Source organism: Homo sapiens, chromosome 5 (assembly GCF_000001405.40).
Source record: "Homo sapiens chromosome 5, GRCh38.p14 Primary Assembly".
Lineage (NCBI taxonomy): Eukaryota > Metazoa > Chordata > Mammalia > Primates > Hominidae > Homo > Homo sapiens.
The window spans coordinates 120,863,683-120,884,730 of record NC_000005.10 but is presented as its reverse complement, the minus strand read 5'-3'; the positions used below and the strand labels follow the sequence as shown (position 1 = coordinate 120,884,730).

General features: G+C 34.2%; 1 long non-coding RNA gene across 1 annotated transcript; it reads right to left on the bottom strand.

Annotated features, from left to right (window-relative positions):
- Nucleotides 1–11,666: 11,666 nt before the first annotated feature.
- Nucleotides 11,667–16,243, bottom strand: LOC105379147 (uncharacterized). Its single transcript, XR_948710.2, has 3 exons — nt 16,161–16,243; nt 14,490–14,542; nt 11,667–12,004 (listed from the first exon to the last, which is right to left on the bottom strand). It is a non-coding gene; the product is annotated as an uncharacterized LOC105379147 (long non-coding RNA).
- Between the last annotated feature and the right edge of the window lie 4,805 nt (nt 16,244–21,048).

Here is a 21,048-nt window from a genome sequence, read left to right as displayed (position 1 = left end):
TTTTTGTGTGATTCTTTGGAGCAAAGAAATTTTGCCATTGTCTTCTAGAAGTCCTTCTTAAAAACCAGCAACCTGGCTGAATGTCACATAATAATAATTTTTGATAGGCTACTGTGAAAGCAGAACATTTATAGGTGTAAATGTGTATCTGTTTGTGATGCATTGATTGATTGACGTTTTTAAAAAATATGTCATTTACTCATTTGATAGTTCAGACTATAAATTAATTGAATTGAACTTCTTTTGATAGCTGTAAGATAGCTTGTAGAAAAGACGCTTTCCCCAAAAAATAGCTAGGAAACATCTACCAAGGCAACTAGGATTTGACAGGTCAGAATTCTGAAGAGAATGAAAGCTCACTGAAGTGAGCTCAGCATTAAAGTACGCTATACTTTTCCTATAAGTTATATACCAAATCATAAGCTACACATGGAAGAGAGGTGGCCTGAGGCATCAGCTAGAAAAATCAGAATATGAGATGAGGGTTCAGCAGTCACATGTGGTTGGCAACCTAAACTCAAGAATTCAGGTGTACTGAGCATACAAGGCCTCTGGGGCAACAATCCCAAAGAGAAAGTGCATTAAGGTGAACACACATATTGTGTTGCTTTCCCCAATATGCTCTTTACAAATATCTAAGTAGCTTCATGGCCAAAGGCTAATAAACTAAGTAAAATGCTGGGAAAGCTCAAAACTTTTGGAAGTTTCATAGATTAGAGGTAATAGAGTTAGAATTCAGTCTGTCAACGGAGAATGACCCTGGCAAACACACCAGCCTTCCACATGGGATTCTACTATTGATGTAAGTTAGGAATAAGTAAATCTGAACATGAATTTACCCTAATAAAATATTTGAGTCCAATTCTGCATGAATTTAATCCCAAATTGAATTATGGTAATTTATCCCTACTCTAGCTGCATGGCAGAAAGCAATTTTAATTCATTGTTCACTGTGGCTAATAATCTCGACAAGGCTTTATAAACAATGTCTGATAGTCGATCAAGGATAACTATTATATCAAATAAAAAAGACCATATGACTGAAAACCCAGGGGGAAGAAAAAACAAGAGAGACAGACCCAAAGATTATCTAGATGTTAGATCTTACATATGGATTTTAAAATAACTGTGATTGACATATTTTTAAAAGATGAAAAGATTGAAATATAACCTGAGAACTGAATATATTTTAAAAGATAATTACATGGAAATTTGAAAAACTAAAAATATTATGTCTAAAATTAAGATACCAAAAGATTGGTTTAATAGGAGATTGGATATAGAAGAAGAGAGAAGGTAAACAGAGAATGCAGATCAATAAAAATATTCAGATTGATTCATGGGAAGCAATAAAGGATGGAAAATATATAGCATAGCTAAGAGAAATTTAATAATAAACTTGTATAATTGGAGACTAAGTAGAAGAGGGAGATAGAGAAGTGATAATTATTTGGAGATACCAGTGAAAAATTTTCAAAAGCGATAAAAAATATAAAGCTACAGATGTAGGACTCTTTAAGAACCAAAAATGGCAAATGCAAAGAGAATCACACCTAGAGACAACATAGTAAGACTTTTGAAAACCAAATTTCAAGAGAAGATCTTCAATAACAACAAGAAAAAAAACATATCCTACTGTCAAAGAAGCAACAATCAGACTGATAGTTTTCTTTTCAACAGAAACAATAAAATCCAGAAGACTATTAAGTGACAATTTAAAAGTGCTAAAATAAAATAACTGTCAACCTAGAACTCTGTATTTTGTGAAATCAGATGGTGAAATGATAACTTTTTTTAAAAGTTAGAATTTGTCACTAACAGGTTGACACTGGAAAACACTTAAAGGAGACTATTAGTTGGAGAAAAAATAATTACAAATGAAAGCAAAAAATTTCAGAAAATAATAGACATAATTAGAAAGCACATGCTTGTCTAAAATAAAGATAATTGTTGCAGGCCAATTTCCCAGGTGACCTTGGATCGACAAAGCTCCTCCCCTTTTCTTGCTTATAGTACTCCAGAGTACCCACAGAATGTACTGGGAATGCAACATCTGAGATAGGAAGGAGCTGGCTGAAAGAGGCCAGGCTTTGTTCCGCTCCATTCCTCCAAAACAGGATGTCTTTCAACAGTTTACCCCAGCAAGTCACAATGCCCTTGGGCATAAACCCCAGAGCAGGCTGCTTTCCTGGTCCCTCAGCTGCAATGCAAGTGGGTCATGTGCAGATGAGATTCCAGCCACCTTAGAAAGCTTTCCTGAGCCTTAGGGAACCAGCTTGTGATGAATTCTTGGCTTCTGTTGTTCCTTGCTACCTAGCTGTAAGTAATAAATTTACTTCATGTAACTTGGTATGTGTGTGGGGGTGGTGGGGCATGTTCTGTCTTACCAGATTCAGACAAGTTGGTAATCAATCAATAGAACCTGCCTCGCAATGATAATGATGATGATGATGATGATGGTGATGGTGATGATGATGACAACCATGATGGCAATAATGATGATGTTGCATTTTGGGGTTTAAAATATAGAACTGTAATATTCATTTCAACAATAGCACAAGAGGCTAGATCTTAAAAGAAGACAAATTGTATAGGAAGTGGTAAAAGTATTAAATGATATTAGATTGTATTAAAGAATCCACGTTGTAACTTCCTGGGTAACCATTAATGATTAATAAAATAATATTTTTCAAAAAGTCATTAAAGGGAAAAATGGAATGATTGATGACAACAACAACAAAAGTCCCAGATTGATCCAAAAGTAAGAAAGGAAAGAGAAGCAGAACACAGAGAAATTGAAGGGGAATTTGAAGGGGGAATTTGAAGGTAATAGACTTAAATTCTAATATAGCAGTATTTTATTCATAAAAAGCCAAAAGATTTCCAATTATTTGTTAGGTATTACTGAAGCTAGACATAGGCATGGCCGATGAACTAGTAATTGCACTCCCAGTCCTATAGCCCACAGAATGCATATGTACCTGTGTCAAGACAATTACAAGAATCTTATAGCAGCATTATTTAGTAATAGCTGAAAACTGAAAACAATCCAAATATCTATCAACTACCAATCTACTAAAATAGATAAATTGTATATTTTCAATAAATTACTATACAGTAGAGAAAATTTAATTACTACTAAAGGAATCACTTAAATGAATTACATAAACAAAATGCTAAGTGTAAAAAGCAAGACATAAAAGAGTATATAATCCATGAATATACTTAATTCAAAAAGAGTGAAAACTAATAGATTGTTTTAAAATCAGGATAATGTTAATCCTTGGAAAGATGAAGAGGTACTAAATGAAAAAGTGCCGTGGGTTTACAGTATGTTGGTAACGGTCTTTCTTTTTTATTCTTGATATTGGTCATTTTTTGAAAATCTATTAAGCCATACACTTACAATTGATGTACTTTTCTGAATGATGTTACAAGTGAATAAATAAAATAATTTAATGTAAATAGGTAATGAGAGCTCTCCATATAAGGCAAATTTTAATATGTGGTATTTTGTAAGTTAAATAAAATGAATTATGAAAATATTTAGCCAATATGCAAACTTTATTATTCTGAAAATATTATTTCTTGCTTGTCATCAAAATAATAAAAAATAGATTAGGCCTATTTTTTAGTATAGTCTCAACCCAGCAAAACAGATGTGTAAGTAACTTTCTCTTTATCTAATCCTTTAGCCAGTACTCACTGTCTAATCTATGTGTAACTTTATGTACTTTGAAGAATATAAATATATAAATAGCATAGTAGCACTCTAGTTTATGTGAAGTGTGAATGAGAGAAAAATTTGCTTCCTGGTTAATTTTCTGTTCTAGTCTAGCTTACTACCATAGCAAGCATCTCCTCCAAGGATGGTAACTTTTGTTTAGTCTAGGAAATTATGTCCAAAGCAGTCAGCAAGTTTTGTTAGTTGTTCTTGAGTCATATAATCACTTTTGGAGATGTATAAAAAATGTAAAAGGTTTATTTTTTGTATTTAAAATACACTTTACTGGAACAAATCTATCATGATTTCCCCTGTTAATAACATTTGGGAAGAGCAAATACAAATAAAAATGTGTGGTTTAGAGCTCACATGTCAGGAGAAATATTCTAGAGCACTCTTCATGAACTGCTTAACCAGATTTTGTCTCAAACTTCAGGGGCTGGTGTGAATTTAAGTTCAGGACTAACACCAGAATGATTATTTGATGGCAGCCTGAAGGGGTTCTTCTGAGAGGTCAGAGGTAATGCTGCATTTCCAGTGCAACGTCTTTCACAAGAGATATTAAATTCAAATTATCCCAGGGAAACATTAAGTCACTTGTTCCACTGTTGATAAATAGAAAAGGTATGTGTACCATCTCTAAACAATACCCTTTCTAAACTTCAAGGTCAGCTTCTGGCCCTTGGTGAGTCTTAAAGTGCTGCTACATCTGCTATAAATCCCCAAAATTATATAATGCATCTCTTTATAGGGTGAGAAAAGCATGCGGGTTTGTAGATGAGGAAATGTGCTACTCTGAAACTTGAAATCTATTAGAAATTGATTTAAAACTCTTGCCAAATTATTCCTGAAGTAAACTGAAATCTGGAATTATGTATTTATGAAGCTTTGAGGATTAATTTGGAAAAGAACTTCTGTTTTGCTCAGGAAAGTATGTGCTCTCTCAGTCTACACATATACTCTGCAATAGTGTTTACATTTCATACCTAAAATTTCCATCTTATTTCCAATAAGCAAATTAAACAACATTGGTTAAGAGCTTAGTCTCTGCTGCTTTCACGTTGCTGGGTCAGTAAGGGGCTCATAAATTTGTGGGAGTTATGAAACAGAAAAAGCAGTATCAGTGTAATCAATATAGAACCAAATGCCAGACAATCAACACTAAGGAAAGCATGGTTAAGGAACATTCCAGGCAGGATAAAGAGTATAACTAAAGATCAAAACATTAAAAAGGTACCTGCTGTATTTGGGAGACAGAAAGGTGAAAGCCTGAGGGAGTAGAAGTTATCAGTTTGAGAAATAAGTAGTAAAGTATAATGAAAGCTAATAAAGTGCAGGGGATGGCAAAATTTGAATGCCAGAACAAGCATTAGGGACTCACCATTGACTCATTTCTTTGGACAAGACTTGCAGCAAAATATTAAATAGACTAAAAAGAGATGGAAGGAGTTTGAAACAGATGAGCCAGCTACAACATTTGCTGAGTTAGCCCAGCATGTGGTCTACAACAGTATTAACAAGAATGGAGAAAACAGAACCATTGAAACTTCATGACAAAATATATACAGCAGGTGAAAGGAAACAGAGGGATTCCAGTATATTAAACATGCATATTGTCCTTCATTTGTGTTGTAATAATACTAATTCATAATATCAGTCTAGATTGTTTTAATTCTAATGACTAGTTCAACACATTTGACTGATAAGACTGAGTTGTTCACATAATTGTCTGTTTACTGATAGTTTAAATTACATAGATTAATAGGAAATCTCAAGGGGTAGGAAATCAGAGAGTATCTAAAATCTTAATTTCAGGCCTTCTATTGAGATAAGCTATTTTCAAAGGCTCGCAGCTTATTTTTTAGCATGTTCTAAAGAGAAAACAACAATCATAAACAATGACAAAAAATATTTATGCAGCACTTAGCATGTGCCAATCACCACGCTAAGCATTAAAATAAATTTTTCCATTTGCTCCTCACAAAATCTTTATTTATCACCATATTATAAGACATAAGCAACATAACCATTACTCCCTGTTGACAAAACTCTGTCCTTACTATATGTACAGTCCTAAAATAATTTTTTTTTTTTTTTGAGATGGAGTCTCCCTCTGTCGCCCAGGCTGGAGTGCAGTGGTGTGATCTCGGCCCACTGCCAGCTCCACCTCCAAAGCAATTCTCCTGCCTCAGCCTCCCAAGTAGCTGGGACTAAAGGCACATGCCACCACGCCCAGCTAATTTTTGTATTCTTAGTAAAGGTGGGGTTTCACCATATTGGTCAGTTTGGTCTCAAACTCCTGACCTCAGGTGATCCGCCTGCCTTGGCCTCCCAAAGTACTGGGATTACAGCTGTGAGCCATCACGCCCAGCCTAAAATAATCTTTTATAGCACACTCTGCTTGGTACAGTTGAAAAATCACATCACAAGAGTGAGTTAAGATATCTGTTTTGAAAACTTTGGTCTGTTAATAACTGGTTGTGTGACTTTGGGTAGGTGAATTAATCTTATTGGCTTACAATTTCCCCATATATAAAACGAGAAGATTGGGGTACCATGATTCCTTTAAGCAAGACAATTATATGACTAAATGATATACCATATAGCATGTTATTAAGTTTGCAGCACTGAAAGAATTTATAATGGGCACTTACTCTTGTGTTGATATTCACAGCAATAATGATCTCTTCTTTTTCTCTATAGTCAGAGAGTTAAGGATCCTGGCTGCTTGCAACCTCAACTTTTAATTACTCAGCTTTGTAGATGATGATAAATACTGTTTTTGAAGAACATTATTTTGCTCTGCTCAGTCCACATGTTTTATTTTACTCTACATTTCATTATGTAGAAGAGCTTTGCATCTTTACTCTCAGCATTAATATTCAATTATGAGTTATCATTGATGCTAGTGATATTATAATGTTAAACCCGCTTAATGCATAGATACATTTAGAAAGGACATATTTAGCATGAATTGCACTGGCACTTTACAATTAAGGTTCAGTCCCTTCCAGAAAGTTATAACTATGAGCATTGTGCATGGGGAAGTTGGGAAACGAGATTAAATTATTTTTTAAATTTTAAAATCGCAGATATGCATGTACACACACATATAGAAAATATATTTTTGCTACTCAACATCTGTTAGTAATCTGAATCACAACTTGCACTTGCTTGAGTTTGGCAGTAACTGTTTTCTTTAAATGTTAAGCATAATCTCTATGGATTTGTTCCAAAAGCAAATATCAAATTCATTTAGACAAATTTTTAACTAATTTGTCTAAACTAATTAACTAATGTATAAATAAATTATTAAGATTAAAGCAAATCTCATTGTATTCAGTTAATTATAATAAAAATAAGAAGTGACACATTTTATATGTACTGACTTTTAAAAAAAAGAAAACAAATTGATTCAAGTCTTCCCAAAATATCAAGAATAATGAAATTTTATTCTTATCAAACATGAATTTCCAGTGTGTTTCATTATGACACACCGTAAGTGTGGGATTCTTCAATTACATGCAAGTTGGTAGAATTTTTCAAAATCTAACTTAAAACATAGGAAGCAAACTGGCATCAAGCTGAACACACATTTCACTTGTACTAACTCAACACTGCATTTCAAAAAGATGTGAATGGGACTAAAATATCAATTTAAATAGTTGGAAAAATCACTCCCTTTTTGCATAAGCTTAGGCATGAGATGGGAGACACAAATTTGCTATCTTCCAAATGAGTCTTCATCCCCTTGTGCATTTCAGCATGAGCATCTTCCTGTGTTTAGCATAATCCTGTTGGTTAAAGGTGTATATTTTACAACGTGACCCCAAATAGTAGCCAAATGACTTCAACATGTTTTTAACCAAAACAAAACCAAAGAACGTTAATGTGTTCTCCCAATGGGGAAACATCAACTAGTTTTGCTGGAGTTATTAAAAGACTGTATGTCACCAACATAGTGCTTTCCCAAGGAATTTTCAATGGCAAGTTTGCTAACATATCATTTTTTATTTATTTTGTCTACTGGACTTCATAAAAAAATTAAACTATAGTATATTTTTAAATTTTGAACACACCTGTGCATTTCATTTGACACTTTCTATAGCAGTATGATCATACATTATCATTGATCTTTTTTCTCCCATCCTTTACTGCAGTACCACACAACTAAAATGATCTTTTTGATAAATTCTAGAGACGATATCTGTTGTTCTGAAGACAAAATCTCTCCAGGGTACAGCTGCCATATTTTATCTTAGAGAAATAAGAAATATGAATTAGATTTTGAGGCAAAATATTGCAAATTCCCAGCCTGTGCAGACCAGAGAACACCTAATGTCTATAGAGAATTAAAGTACTTGCCTCTCTCCTGAATTTAGCCATTTTGGAAGACTTTTGGAAGACTTTTTGGAGACTTTTGGAAGGCCACTGGATCCAACTGGGCATCAGCAGCTCTGATGAGCAAAATTTCTCCCAGGTCATGTGGTTGGGAGAGAATGGCCTCTCCTCTGCTCTCATCCAAAGAGACCTCAAAAACAGAGGTCTCCGTGTCTTTCCACTACTTTCACACTCACCTTATTCCTAATGTTTGCTTCCATGTATAACTATTTAAAAATTATACAATTAGGCCAGACGTGGTGACTCACACCTGCATTCCAGCACTTTGGGAGGCCAAGGTGGGCAGATCACCTGAGGTCAGGAGTTTGAGACCAGCCTGGCCAACATGGTGAAATCCTGTCTCTACTAAAAATCAAAAAATGAGCCAGATGTGGTGGTGCACACCTGTAATCCCAGCTACTCAGTAGGCTGAGGCAGGAGAATCTCTTTAACCTGGGAGGTGGAGGTTGCAATGAGCCAATATTGTACCACTGCACTCCAGCCTGGGAGACAGTGTTAAAATCTGTCTCAAAAAATATATATATATATATCCAATTGGAAATTGAGACTTTTCAAAATAATTCATCCATCAAAGAGGAAATCAAAACAAATTACAGATTACTTGAAATTAACAAAAATAAAACTATTTCATATCAAGAGGTAAGACCACGTTGGTCTATGTTTATTAAGAACCTTGGACTTACTCAGTAATTGGAGACAACAGATACCTCTGGAGGCAAGTAACTACAGCAGAGTTCAAAAGTGAGGACTTTTAAAGTCTTAAACCTGGAACATTCTAACTCTTCTTGGACTCCAAAAGGATTCTGGAAGAAAGTTGATTATTTCTGGAGAAGTTGATGAAAAGTGTTTTGACCTTGGGGATACCAGAAAGGTTGATAGAGAAAGTGGAGACAATTATGGAAAGTAGATTGAATGATCGCTTCATACTTAATGGTGGACTCCAATCAAGCCAAGAAAAATAAATTTTATGAAATATATGTTTATATGATAATCTATAAATTTTACAGGATTATATTTTGGTATTAAAATTATTGGAGCATCAACATGTAAAATAATACTTAAATACAGTCACCTTTGGCATTTTGCTGACTTTTAGTCATATAAAAACCAGAGCTTTTACACATATTTTTTATTCTGTCAATACAAAAGTATTTTCGTTGAGGGAGAAAGATAAAACATATTTTATGTAGTAGTTTGTTGGCTAGTCTTGTAAATTTTAAGTATTTAGACATTTGAAATGTGGGCCTCCATTTGTACTTTTGTCACAAGTCTTGTAGATATGAGTAATGGACCTGTTTTTCATATGCTACTTTTTAGATAAAATCTGCTCAGATAAAGTATAAATATGTGTATTTTGAATGGATCACAGGTCATATTTTAACTGAAGTAAGAGCTTCTCTTAGCACCACTACTATTACCACAACACAACTCAGAATACCAAGTCAATAAGAGATATAATAAAGGTGATATCAGAAGTCAGTGTTTGGTCTTTATTTTTATTTAAATTTTTATCTTTAGAGTTTATTCATATTGATAGGATTTCTCATATAATTATAATGAAAGAAAAATTTATTTAAGTTAAAAACATTTCTTCAAAATAAAATTTATATGAACCAAACAATATTGGCAAATGGGCTTTACTGAGTATAGATTCCAAAAATGAGATCTTAATGGTATGTATTACCCATTAAAACAATTTTCATTTTACACGTGATGTTTTAAAGAAGCAATTACGATTGTAGGGTAATTTTACCATAATTGTATTATTGGCAGTTTTTTAGGAAGCTGAAGCTACACTAAAATCTTTAACATGCTCTCTGTGAAAAAATGTGTTGAAGGAGCCTCATGCATACATAATTTAATGTGTCCATAAAGATAAATTCATTAAAAAACCCTATCTTGAAAATCAGAAGAGCCTCATGGTCTTCAATCATAGAGATTACAGCCTTTCTAAGCCATATGTGGAAGTAACATCTGGTTCATAAATTGATTAGCATTCCTTAGGACATCAGAAATTGCCTATGGTAAGAAGTCCAGTATGCCAGTATCCATGTCCACTAAATATTTAGTGACAAAGCAACTTTACATATGTCCCACAATACTGATTCTATAAATTTCATCTACACTTACAATTTAGAAAGGAAACAAATTTTTAAATCACCTTGTGTAGAACTCAACTATTAATAGATATAATAAAAAGCACATTTGGTTTATTTCCATCAGCATTCATTTGAGAGGTAACAGTTTGTCTCAGAATTAAGTGGCAAAATAAACATCAGTTACAGGAATTGCCTAATCACAGATTCCTTTGTGGAATACAAATACTACTTTATATTTTGGCTATAACTGGATGGCACATTCTTAGTAGCTACTTCATAAATCACACTTTTTCTCTTTAAAATGTTTTGGTCAAACTGGAAGCTTGCATTGTTCCACTGCCTAACTGTAGCACCCCCTAAAAAAAGCATAAGTTCAAGAGAGCACAGCACAGCTGATGCATGTAAACAGTAGCCTTCTCTTTGTATAATATATTGATAGAGGGTAATTATCTGCCATAGCTCTGTGCTTAAAGACAGGTTGGAAGATGAATAATGGATGCTTGCTTTTGGAAAGATTGATTCTTAGCAATACATTTATAAGAAATTCTACAAAATGAATATGACCAATATATAATTACATATAGCAAATGGAAAGAACGGCTTGAATAAAGCCACATACAGGAACATGTCTCATGTCTGAAATGGTGAAAAGCAACACAAAGTCCAATGTAAACACCTCATATTTCTAGTGAATCTGATTTAATTTAATTTAATTTTTAACATTTAGAAAGTGTTTGTTTTCTTCCTCACCAGTTTGCTAAAAGTTGAAGAAAAATGAGTGCTATCCTTGTGTAAATGTGCACACGCTTTTTATTCTGTTAACAGTAGGCTTATTCTTGTATTCCTGTAAAATACTGGTAGTCTCTTTAATCTTGATATTGTTTAGTTAAAGGAATAACAGATGGTTAAAATTTTATGTATACATTTGTTGCTGGCTACAACATTGCTTCCTTGGAAAAAGTAGGGAATATACTTGTATACTTGGATAAAAGCACATAAATGTTTAAACAAAAAACAAAACCTTGGTTTCAATCTACTTTTTGATGTAACAAAAATAAAATGAACAAATACCACCTACAAATAATAGCTCAGGCCACCCTCATGAACTTCGCCTGAGGAGAGCCCATGCCTTTGGCATGAAAGATGCAGCTACACTGTGAGAAGACTTTGGTTGGTAGATAAATAGTGCTGCCTTAAATAACCTGCCAGACTCAGGAACTGAAGCCAGGGACAGAACACCACAGTCAATCCTGTGAGTCACTCTGTAAGAGGAAAATATTGCAGAGAAGTATAGATGTTATCTAAAAATAAGTGGGAATGATAGAAAAAAAAAGTTAGTGAGTATAGAACATGTAGTGCCATTTAAAGAAAATATTTGTATAGATATAGAGAATGTGTGTGCATATTCATGTTTATATCTGTGGGTATGTGTGCTTGGTTTGTGTGAGTCTGTCAGGTGTGTGTTAGATGTGTTTTCTGTGAATTATCTTTCCTAATGTAAAAAACATATTGGGGATATGTGGGTATGCTGTCTTTTAGTAATATCATATTAATCTTAATGTTTAAGTATGTGTGTTTGAGGCTATTCTTTGTGATAATATGATATTGCTATCCGGAAATGAATGTCTTTCAATACTTACTTATAAAGAAAACAGAAGCCTCTTTATCTTTTCAGAAGTCAATGTACGTATCTGCTAGAATTTTCTCATTTATACTCAGTGTAATTATACATGCTCTCTACAAACATCTGGGACTCTTTTTCCTTCCATTTATTTCATTTCTATGAAAAAAAAAACAGAACAAAGTATTTTGTTCAGGGTTTTCTTTTTTCAGGCAGGCATTTTCTTAAAATGGACATGAATATTTTTTCAATTAAAGTGCATGTAATAAAGTATGTGCAAAAAAAGACCTGAATCAATGTATTTCTTCCAAGAAAGAAAGAGAAATGAACTTATGGTTGTGCAATTTGGAAGGCAGAAACTGGGTTAGAGCCACGTAATAGAGAACAATGTCAGAGAGGCATTTTGGGAAGAAGCGTAGAAAGGCCAGGCTGCTGGGCATTGTGTAAGAAAAAGGAGCTAACAGGCCAAAATGTCTTGGGCAAGTAGGAGAAAAAAGAAATTTAGGGGAAATAAAAGGTATCATACTATTTTTAGGTTGATACACACACTATGTCAGGCTGTTCTTACATTGCTGTAAAGAAATACCTAAGACTGGGTAATTTATAAAGAAAATATGTTTAATTGGCTCACAGTTCTGCAGGCTATACAGGAAGCATAGTAGCAGCTGCTTACGGTGAGACCTCATGAAGCTTCCAATCATGACAGAAGGTGAAGGGGGGAGCAGGCACATCTTATGGTGAAAGCAGGAACGAGAGAGAGAGGAGAGGAGCTACACACTTTTAAATGACCAGATCTCCTGAGAACTCATTCACTATTGCAAGGACAGTACCAACAAGATGGTACTAAAACAATCATGAGAAATTTGCTCCCACTAGGCCCTATCTCCAATACTGGGGATGACTATTCAACATGTGATTTGGCTGGGGACACGTGTGTGTGTGTGTGTGTGTGTGTGTATATTCACTCACACATATATACATACACTGGTTCTAAATTTGGAATATGGATTTATAGAGGAAGAAAGGCAGAAAAAGAACAATAAGATAGCAGATATTCAGAACACATACGTTATATGATAATATTTAGTGCACTCTGTCCTAAATGAACTTGAATTTACTCTAGTAGAAGAGAATTATAAAAAGGTAGGGGGTTCTTTTAATGCACTGGTGAATCACCTAAAGTCAGGAGTTTGAGACCAGCCTGGCCAACATGGTGAAACCCCATCTCTACTAAAAACACAAAAATAAATTAGCAGGGCAGGTGGTGCATGCCTGTAATCTCAGCTACTTGGGAGGCTGAGCCAGGAGAATCACTTCTACCCAAGAGGTGGAGGTTACAGTGAGCTGAGATCGCTCCATTGCACTCCAGGCTGGGTAACAAGAGTGAAACTCTTGTCTCAAAAAAAAAAAAAAAAATCTTCAAATAGAGTTCTGTCTCCTGGGGCCATTTATACCAGTGGACTAACACAAGGCAAAATTACAGGTTTATCAGTTGACTTTATTTAGTGCTGCACTGGGAAGTAAATCCCTTTTTTTTTCTTTTTTTTTTCCGACAAAAGCCCAGGCTGGAGTGCAGTGATGCAATCTTGGTTCACTGCAACCTCCCCCTCCTGGGTTCAAGCAATTCTCCTGCCTCAGCCTCCCAAGTAGCTGGGATTACAGGTGCCCGCCACCATGCCCGGCTACTTTTTTGCATTTTTAGTAGAGACAGGGTTTTGCCATGTTGGGCAGGCTGGTCTCGAACTCCTTACTTCAGGTGAAATCCTCTCTCTTATATCTACCTACTATCCATTCTAACAAGAGGTATGTGGATAAATTCAACCTAGATATGTGGAAAAAAATTAAGGCTGAAACATTATTAAATTACATTACATTACAAATTGCAACAAGACACAACTTTTGATTAGACAATTTTGAATATTGTTTCACAGGTGTTAACAAGACTTTTAAAAAATTTGACACTATTGAAATTTTGGACCATATTTCTTGTTCAAATATTGGATCATATTCATTGTATGGGTTTGTCCTGTACATTGTAATGTACAGCAGTGTCCCTGTCCTCCACCCAACAACTTCAAGGCATGACAATCAAAAGGTATGTCTTAAGATATTGCCCAATGTCTCTGGGCTAGAGAGTAAAATTATCCCTAAAATTGATAGCCACTGGTTTAAACTAAGTAAGTTTAAACTCAGCACTAAAATTTTGGGGAACAGAATTTTACCAGAAAAAAATAAACTTTAGTGCCTATTGTTCCAAGGTAAAAATAATGTCTTCTAAATAGTCACTAAATAGTTTCAGTAATGTCAAATTTTCAAGTGTGCAATTGAAATTTGTGTGTTTCTATGCACCACAAAGTAACTGATACACATGAATCCTAATGCAGTAGGTCATAATACAATATTTTGGGCAAAGAGTAGCTTGAATACTGTTTGAATAACAACTATGTTGGATATCTAATTAAGATGTCACCATCTATCCACACCCTCAATATATATTACCGGTGTTCAAAAGACATGCTAATCATAAGCAAAATATTAAAAGAGAAAACCAGAAACAAAACTAGAATCAGATATTAAATAAAAATTTTTTGTAGTTTCCAAAGACAGAAGAGAAACTCAAAGCAGAGAATGGAGCTGTACTCACAGATTCATCCTCATAACTTGCTGGAATCCAGGTGCAGAATCAGGAAAGAATGGCTGGAAGGTGAAAGTGATAAGGGAGACTGAGGTTTGGCTCAATGATGGAAGTCAGTAGTTAGATTAGTATCTTTCTGTTCAACAAGCTTTAAAAAAAATAGCCATTGTGAAACTCTGCCCAAGGCTTCAATTTACGTATAGAGAGAAACTTCCTCTCTTTCATTTGAGACATTCCTTATGAGATGATTTTATTTCTTCCTAAAGTTTATCTTATAGAAAAGAGCTTCCCACTAGGGGTGTCAAGAATGGCTTACAGATGTACATGAGATACTGATATCCTCAGCCCTTAGCATAGCTGTTGGAGATTAGAACAGGGGTAGCCTTGGGGCTGATCTCTGGCCATGAGTATCCTCACCTACTTAAGCCAACACACTGCAAAAATATTATCATTTTATATGTGTGCTGTGATCTGAAAATGTTTAGGAGTCAAAGCATTAGTACTTCCCTTTATAAGGGTCTGTATTATTTTGTTAGGGCTGCCACAACAAAATACCAACACTGGGTGAATTAACAGAAATTTATTTCTCACAGTTCTGGGAACTATAAGTTCAAGACCACGGTGTTGGTAGGTTTGGTTTCTTCTGAAATCTCTCCCCTGGTGTGCAGATGGCCATCTTTTTTGCTGTGTCTTCACATGATCTTCTCTGTGAATGTCTATTTCTGATGTCCATTTTGTGTCCATATTTCCAGTTTTCTTTTTTTTTTTTTTTTTTTTTAAGACAGAGTCTCGCCCTGTCACCCAGACTGGAGAACAGTGGCACGATCTCAGCTCACTGCAACCTCTGCCTACTGGGTTCAAGCGATTTTCCTGCCTCAGCCTCCTGAGTAGCTGGGATTAAAGACGTGTGCCACCACGCCCCGCTAATTTTTGTATTTTCAGTAGAAACGGGGTTTCACTATGTGTGCCAGGCTGGTCTAGAACTCCCGAACTCAGGTGATCCGCCTGCCTTGCCCTCCCAAAGTACTGGGCAGAATTCCATTTTTTATAAGGACTCCAGTCAAACTGTATTAGGGCCCATCCAAATGGCCTCAGTTTAATGTAATCACCTCTTTAAAAGCCCTCTCTCCAAATACAGTCACATTCAAAGGTACTGAGGATTAGGGCTTTAACATGAATTTGGGAGAAACACAATTCAACTATAACAGGATCTACTGTTGGTAAACCCTGTTAGTATTTTATCTGAAAATGTCTTTCTTTCACCCTCAATATTAAATGATAATTCAATTGGATATGAAATTGTCAGCTAGAGTTTTAGCCTTCACTAATAATGAACTAAGAAATTTGGATAAATCTTCACGCAAGTTACAATTTTTTAAAAAAGCAGAGAAAAGAAAAACCTGCACATAAAGGCACTGCAGAACTAGTAAGGAAGTGGAGATAAATGGGGCCAAGATCTAGGAGAAGGAGCTCTAGAAAGATGACCTTGATGCTCCCCTGTAAGCATTTGACAATTCTGAAAGAGGTGGCTGAGATGCGGAGAGGCTGAGCAGTGATTTCCACAGGCTGACAGGCAAATGGTACAATACAAAGTAAAAAGCCTCATAAAGAAGGCAGTGTCTGGTAAAGCCTCTCTCCAGATTTGGGGCTAGAAAAACCCAAAAGTAATTGAAATTTGACCTTTGATGATACTGAAGCCCAGCTTTAAGTCATTTCATTCTCTGATTGGTTTATAGTAATTTGCCATTGCTGATGCCACTCAGTGCCCCTTCTGCTCCTGAAAAAGGAAAAATGAATCCGTTTTGGAGGAAGATACCATCATTGCAGACTTCAAATCATCTTTCATATATATATATAATATCTAGCATATATATATACATATATATGTAGTATCTAGCATATATATATACATATATATATAGAGAGAGAGAGAATCTAGCATACATTTTTAAATGACTAGACATTTGAAGATAAAAAACAATGTGAACAAAATTTGTAAGAAATAAAAGGTAACAGAACAGATTGCAAGGGCTTCCAGATAATACAGTTATCAGATACAAATTTTAAAGTAATTATTATTCTGTTCAAGAAAATAAACAAAAAGATAAAATATTTATGAACCGAACATTTTAAAAGATCTAACAGAATTTTTAAAAATAAATATATATAATGACTGAACTGACCATTTTATAAATATATTTACTAGTAAATTTTACATAATAAAGGAATTAATGAGTTGGGATGGGTCAGAGAAAATATGTTAAATAAGCACAGAGGAAAACATTAAAATGTGAAATGCTGAAAGAATGTAAAGGTTCAGTCAAAGATATGCATAGGAATTCCAAAGGAGAAAAGACAGAACATAAAATAAAAAGCAATAGTTGAATAAATAATAGCTGACAATTATCCAAAACTGATTAAAAAAAAATCAAGCATCTGATTTAAGAATTCTCAGGCAAGATAAATATAAACAAAACTGAAACTAAACACATAGTTATAAAACTACCGAAAATCAAAGACAAAGATAAAATCTTATATGTAGGCAGAAAGAGAAGAAAAATAACTTTGAAAAGAACATCAAAAGAAGGTTAATTTGCAGCAAACACATTGGGAGTCAGAAGACAATATTATATCCTTCTGGGTCCTTTGGGACTCTTTGCAAGGAAGAGGCAGGGGTTGGGAGATTGCTAACAAATGTTATAACCACAAAAATATCAATCAAAAATGGAAGAGAAAGGTTTTGGAAAGAGATAGAGGTGGTGGTTGCACAACATTTTGAATGTACTAAAAGTTACAGAGTTGTTCATTTTCAAATGGCTAATTTTGTCCAGTCACAGTGGCTCACACCTGTAATACCAGCACTTTGGGAGGCCAAGATGGGTGGATCACTTGAGGTCAGGAGTTTGAGACCAGCCTGGCGAACATGGCGAAACCCTGTCTCTACTAAAAATCAAAAAATGACCCAGGCGTGATGGCGTGTATCTGTAATCCCAGCTACTGGGGAGGCTGCAGCAGGAAAATTGCTTGAACCCAGGAGGCGGAGGTTGTAGTGAACCAAGGTGGCGCCACTGCACTCCAGCCTGAACTACAGAACGAGACCCTGTCTCAAAAGAAATAAAAAATAAAAATAAAATGGTGAATTTTATGTTATGTTTATTTCACCTTAAAAAAAATAAAAAGAAGTTAAAATAAATCTCCAATAATTAAAATTAGAGAGGTTTCATCATCAGCAAATTCATATTAAAAATATTTAATTATCTTAAAAGATTAAGTGATTATACCTGTAAAGATTCAATGACTGTTCATGATATAATCTTTTAGCACACTAGCAAGTAACCTCCCTAAGTTAGAGTAACATCATGCTAAATGGGAAAATTTTGAAAGCTTTCCCTCTCAGTTTGATAAGGAAACATCATTGTAATAGAGGTTACTGTCAAATAAATTCAAGAACAGAATATAACTATAATTGTACACAGACATTTAGTAGATTTTTTTAATTTTTGAAAGCAAGTCTCAAAATACAGTCACTAGAGGAACTTGTGAAGTTTTTATGTTCATTAGTAAGAATAATTAGTAACATCTCAAAGTGTTTACATCCGCTTTTGAAGCTATATAATTGAAAAAAGACAGTATATGTGAAAGTAGAGTTTTGGACCTAATGGGGAGGAAAAAGATAGGTAATCTTTTTGCGTTAGTACGCACACAAAAGTGTTTATAAAGAGACAAACTTCATCTGCATTATATGCATTTTTCTGACAGACTTAACAAGTAGATAAAATTATGTGATATAAGATTTATATCACATAATTTATATATTAATACCAGATTTATACTGGTATTAATTTCGGAAAAGAGAGGGGAAGCTATTGAAATTAGGTTTTAATTTTTCTTCATTTTTAATTTTTTATTCTAATCTTTAAAAATTTTACATACAAAAGCTAAACCAATAATATCATTTTAATGAGAAGGCGTGTTTCTTTTGGAAGCATATGGAGTATGAAAGCATTTGTTTTATGTGATTCCCCTTTATTTGTTCTTGATGAAAGCCTAATTAGATGTTCAAATTTGTATCAAGCTCAAGGTGATAACTCTTAGACATTAGAAAATTTTTAATCATTAATGAACTTCAGCAAATTTGATACATATAAAAATACTTTTTCAAATGTTTTTAAATATTAAAACATATAAGAAATCCATCCAAAATAACTCTATATATCAGGAGTGAGGATTTATGAAAATGAGTATACCCAGACCAGTAACGTTCATGCCTTCACTTCTCCATCTCCCTTGGAATTGCAATGTGAGGAGATAATATTCTTACAGTAATGTTTCTTTCAAGATTATATAGGGGAATTTGGGACCAGAGAGGTTTCTTCATAGTACAGCAGCAAATGAGATTCTTGGGTCCTCTTTTGTGGATTTATATTTTTCTCTTTCTCTAAAGTCACTTGCAGGGACAAAAATTATGTCCAAATATGAGCTCAGAAACCAAAAATAAGTACACATATGAGAAGTACGATTCTATAAAACAAGAGAAACAAAATGGACAAACACCATACATGATGCAAAATTTCTACAAAAAAAAAATGGTCAAGAGCTTTTCATAAAAATAATAAAATATCCTAAATCATATTAGAAAATGTACAGTAGTATACTTATGATATATTACAGTAGCAACATGTGAAGTCAAGATCCCATCCAGAATAATAACTGTAAAAGATGTGGATAAGTATAGTTTTGAGCTTTCCATTGTTGCTGTACTCCAAAGCAGGCCAGAACATATAGAAAATAGGTATTGAATGAGTTCATTTGTAGTGTTTACTACAAAAAAAATCAGCTGCAGAGTAGATAAATAATTTCTGGTGTAGTCATATGCTACATTACTATAGAGTATGGAAATAAATTATGTATTCACACATCAAATGGATTAATCTTCAGAATAGAATGGTAAAAGTAAAAAACAAGTCAGTAGATTTGATATGATATAATTTTTGTAAAGTTCAAAACCATGAAAAAGGAAACAACATTCTGTTTAGGGATACTCCTATATGTGGTAAAGATATTTGCAAAAATTAATTGAATTATAGGCTTTGATTATTTACATCTGTGAATACAGAAAGAGAATGGGATCTGGAATAGGCCTTCAGAAGCCTCAAAAATTTAGTAGATTTCTGGTATTTTTCCCCTGAGGTAGAAAGTGAGTAAAGGGATGTTTGTTTTGTTGTTATTATCTATATTTGAATAATATGCTAAATATGTTATTTTGTGTATATTCAATTTTCATAGAAACAATTTTGAAAATGAAAAGAAAAAGTAAAAAATCAGCCATCATAACTAGAAGAAAATTAGTATGTAAATTTTTAAATTGCTGGAGGAGTGGGGAAGCTCAAAGAACTCACTCAATCTAGCGAATTCAGGAGAACAAATTTGAAGAATGAATACAGGGATACAATCTCAGCAAGTGGAAAGGGAAAGTGCACACTTGGAAAAGGGAACAACTGTCTAGGGAATGGCAAGGAAACTGGTGATTTTGCTCCAGAGGAGAGGTAACCAAATATGTGAGGTTAACCTAAAAACATAGGTGACAGCCCAAAGGAACCTCAATGCCTGGTTAATGAGTTTGTGAGGTTTATTTTTGTTCTATATGTAAAAAGCACTGGGAGTCTGCTAAAGATTTTTAGATAAATAGTGTATCCTCAATACATTATGTTGGAAAGCTAAGCTGTTTGTCCTGAAGAAGATGAATTGCAAAGAACAGATAAGAAATAGACAGCAGAGTAAAGGTCTTGAAATCATCGAATCAAGGCTTGACTGTTACTTTTTGGCATTTAATGCAAGCATTGATTTTTGGTATTTATGCTTAGACCTTTTAAAGAAAGTACATTTCCGCAGTGTGACTTGCTATGTACCTTTGCTTCACGGATACAGGCAATTGGTCTGCATTTTATATGCTTGTAGTCCAAATGTTTATTGCAGTAAACAAACATTATTGGTTTCTTTCCCCCAGAAAGCACAGTGAAAAAAGGCTAAGATAAATAAACAAAGCAAAAGTCAGGTAAGAAGAAAAAAAAAAAAAAGAGGAAGATAAAGAGGGAGGGAGAGAGAGAACACAGTAAAGAGGGCATAAACAGTGGGCTGGGGACCAGAAAACCAAGTTCAGAGAAGGTGGCTGGCCTTAAGCAAAGCACTTAACCTTTCTTGCCTTCAGTTTTCTCATCTGTTAAAAAAAGGAGTTCAGCTAGATGACCCAAATTCCCTCCAGATAAGTGTGTGGCATTATTCTATTACAGTTTATGATTCCATTACAGAGTTTACAGTCATTCTTAGAGAGTTTTCTTTGAAGATACTGAGGCAAGAATTCAAAAATGTTAAAACTGTATTACATAATTTTATATATATAGACATAAATTTCTTCAGTTTCAGAGTTTTACATTTTTTCAAGAGCTTAATTTGTATTTAGGAACAAAATGAGGACATTAAGGACAGTGTTCCAGCCTCCTAGCAAATTGTTGTTACTTTGTTGATAGAGAGCAAGAGGAGAAATCCAGTGATCTGCCCAGAACTGCTC